Source organism: Homo sapiens, chromosome 12, assembly GCF_000001405.40.
Source record: "Homo sapiens chromosome 12, GRCh38.p14 Primary Assembly".
Classification (NCBI taxonomy): domain Eukaryota; kingdom Metazoa; phylum Chordata; class Mammalia; order Primates; family Hominidae; genus Homo; species Homo sapiens.
Window position 1 is genome coordinate 76219737 of NC_000012.12, and position 2901 is coordinate 76222637.

Here is a 2901-nt window from a genome sequence, read left to right on the forward strand (position 1 = left end):
GGTCTAGCAATGAAGACTTATGTAAATACTTGTCTCTTTATATACTTTAAAAAGGCCCTCAGTGAGTTAGGGTCTTGCATTTATTGCTACTGAACTCTCCAGGTATGTATGTTGATCATAGAATGTACTTTCCTTCATTATGCTTATTTTTAATTTTAAATACACACATGGTAATGTGGACAAAGGAACTAAGTTTTAGACACTCAGGTGCTCAAAACTAACCACAAAGGGCAGACATAGATTAACTAAATCCTCATGACTGACATGGTTTCACATTCCATTGTCATTTGTTGTTGGATTTAGGTGATGACCTTCAAGTCTAAAAATGACACCATTCTTTACCAGTTTGAATATTGACACAACTGCAGACCATCGTAATCTTATTTCAGGATGTTAAAATTCCAGTATTCAGAGCATTTGAAGCTGTGCAAATGTCTTTCTGGGGCACATAAAAAAATCAAAGTATTATCATTGGTTTTATTCCCTCACTGCCTTGTAGCATATACAAACTGAATCTCAGAGATTCCGGTAAACTTATTTCCATTTCTATGTCAGTGAAGCCAAAAGAGAAAAAGTTATTATCTGGAAGCACACAGTGGAGAGCCAAACCTCAGACTTACACATCAATGAAAATTAAAGTGTCTCTTGACAAGATAGGTCAAATATCAATGATGTGTGGCTACTTAGTGGTCAATCTAATTCACTCTCTAATAAATATGAAGCACCCCATAGTCAGTTTTATAATAAATAGAGTCACAGCTGACTGTTTGTCTTTGATTAAATATCACCTTTGCTATTTAATTCAGTTATTTCAGAAAGAGTTTTGACATTTGACTCTAAATAACACATTTTGTTTTTTTTGAAAAATAAAGGTCTTTCAATGTCTATCTCCTTCCATTTCCTTTAATTCATAAAAACATGGTATTTCATAGATGTGACTTCTCTTGATCTTAGCAACAGTCATATTATTAGTAACACTATGTGTTCTACATTGCTTACTTCTATGCTGTGTTTTATAAACAGAGAGCTATAATAGGTATTATGAGGAATATTAGAACAGTGCTGTCCAGTAGAATGTAGTAGTGAGATAACCTTCTCTCTTCCCTCTGTAATAACTGAGTCTGTTGAAATAAACTGACAGTAGATTGACAGGAGAAAAGGTATACAAGTTTATTACATGCACAGTGACATTACAGGAATCTGACTGTCCAATAATCCAATGAGATTCAGAAGCTTAAATAACCTTCTTAATAGGGGAGAGGGAAGTGGGGGCTGTAGGCATTTTAGTTAAAAAGTAAGTGATTTTTAGGGGAGATGAATGGGCCCAAAGAACAGACAATAGCCTAGGAAAAAATTCCTCTGGGCTCTAGGTCTGGTGTTGTAACTAGTCTTCTTTCCTGTGAGTTAATCATCCCTGTTCAATGAGGCTATAGGGAGGGGGGCTCAAGACAATTGCATTCCTTCTGAGGGAGCTTTCCTTCCTCGATAAAGAAACTTCAGAGAAAGCTTGTCCCTGTGGGATGGACTGGAGGGCAGGAGGAGTTCAGAGAGACCTTGGTTCTGAGGCTACTTTTTAGTTTAAAGTACTCAGCATGTCAAAGTGCCATGCTTTGGGGTATGATTTTCTGAGCCCCAACAAGAACCCTCTGTAATGATAGAAATATTTTGTATCTATACTGTCTAACATGATAGCAACTAGCCACATGTGGCTATTGAGCACTTGAAATCTGGTTAATGCAAATGAGAAACTGAATTCTTTTTTTTTTTTTTTGAGACGGAGTCTCGCCCTGTCGGGCAGGCTGGAGTGCAGTGGCGCGATCTCGGCTCACTGCAAGCTCCGCCTCCCGGGTTCACGCCATTCTCCTGCCTCAGCCTCCTGAGTAGCTGGGACTACAGGAGCCCGCCACCACGCCCAGCTAATTTGTTGTATTTTGTTTAGTAGAGACGGGGTTTCACCGAGTTAGCCAGGATGGTCTCGATCTCCTGACCTCGCGATCCGCCTGCCTCGGCCTCCCAAAGTGCTGGAATTACAGGCGTGAGCCACCGCGCCCGGCCGAAACTGAATTCTTAATTTTATTTAATGCTAATTTATCTTGTTTATTTATTTTGAGGTGAAGTCTCACTCTGTTGCCCAGGCTGGAGTACAGTGGCACAATCTTGGCCCACTGAAACCTCCGCCTCCGAGTTCAAGCGATTCTCCTGCCTCAGTCTTCTTAGTACCTGGGATCACAGGTGCCTGCCACCATGCCTGGCTAATTTTTGTATTTTTAGAAGAGATGGGTTTTCGCCTGTTGACCAGGCTGCTCTTGAACTCCTGGCCTCAGGTGATTCTCCCACCTAGGCCTCCCTAAGTGCTAGGATTATGGGCATTAGCTACCATGCCTGGCCAACTTACTTTATTTAGTGCTAATTATTTAAAATTTAAATATTTGAAATTAAACAGTTAATGGCTACTGTACTGGGCATTGCAGTTCTAGAACAAAAGTAGCCATTAGTTTTCTGCCAGAACTTAGAATCCAAATGGATTGTGTGCAGAAGTGGGTGGCCGTCAAGGAGCATGGTTTGAGAACAACTGCAAACTATTGAGTAAAATTTAAAATCATACCAAATATATATAAAAGTTGACATTATCTAATGGAGTGATCTGAGGGAGATGAGGTTAATGCAAGGAAAACTTGCGGAGAAAATGGGATTTCAGGACCTGCTATGACGGAGGAGGAGCAGACAGAAATGAAGAAGGGTCTGACAGGTGTGGAAGATATGAACCAATAAGGAACAGTCGATGAGAGAGAGGGAGGAGGTTCACACCCATCCTGATGGAAGACTCTGAGGCACAAGTGAAGCAAATGTGGTTATTGACCCTGACTGAAGCCTTTCTTGGATAGTGTGGACACTCTAAGG

At 40.6% G+C, this 2901-nt stretch overlaps 1 annotated feature.

The window, feature by feature from the left end:
• Positions 1293–1587: a silencer, noted in NCBI's record as "tiled region #1280; HepG2 Repressive non-DNase unmatched - State 24:Quies, and K562 Repressive non-DNase unmatched - State 23:Low". NCBI's record gives its function as "represses a minimal TATA promoter and a strong SV40 promoter by Sharpr-MPRA in HepG2 and K562 cells {active_cell/tissue: HepG2 | K562}" and the evidence as "EXISTENCE:reporter gene assay evidence [ECO:0000049][PMID:27701403]".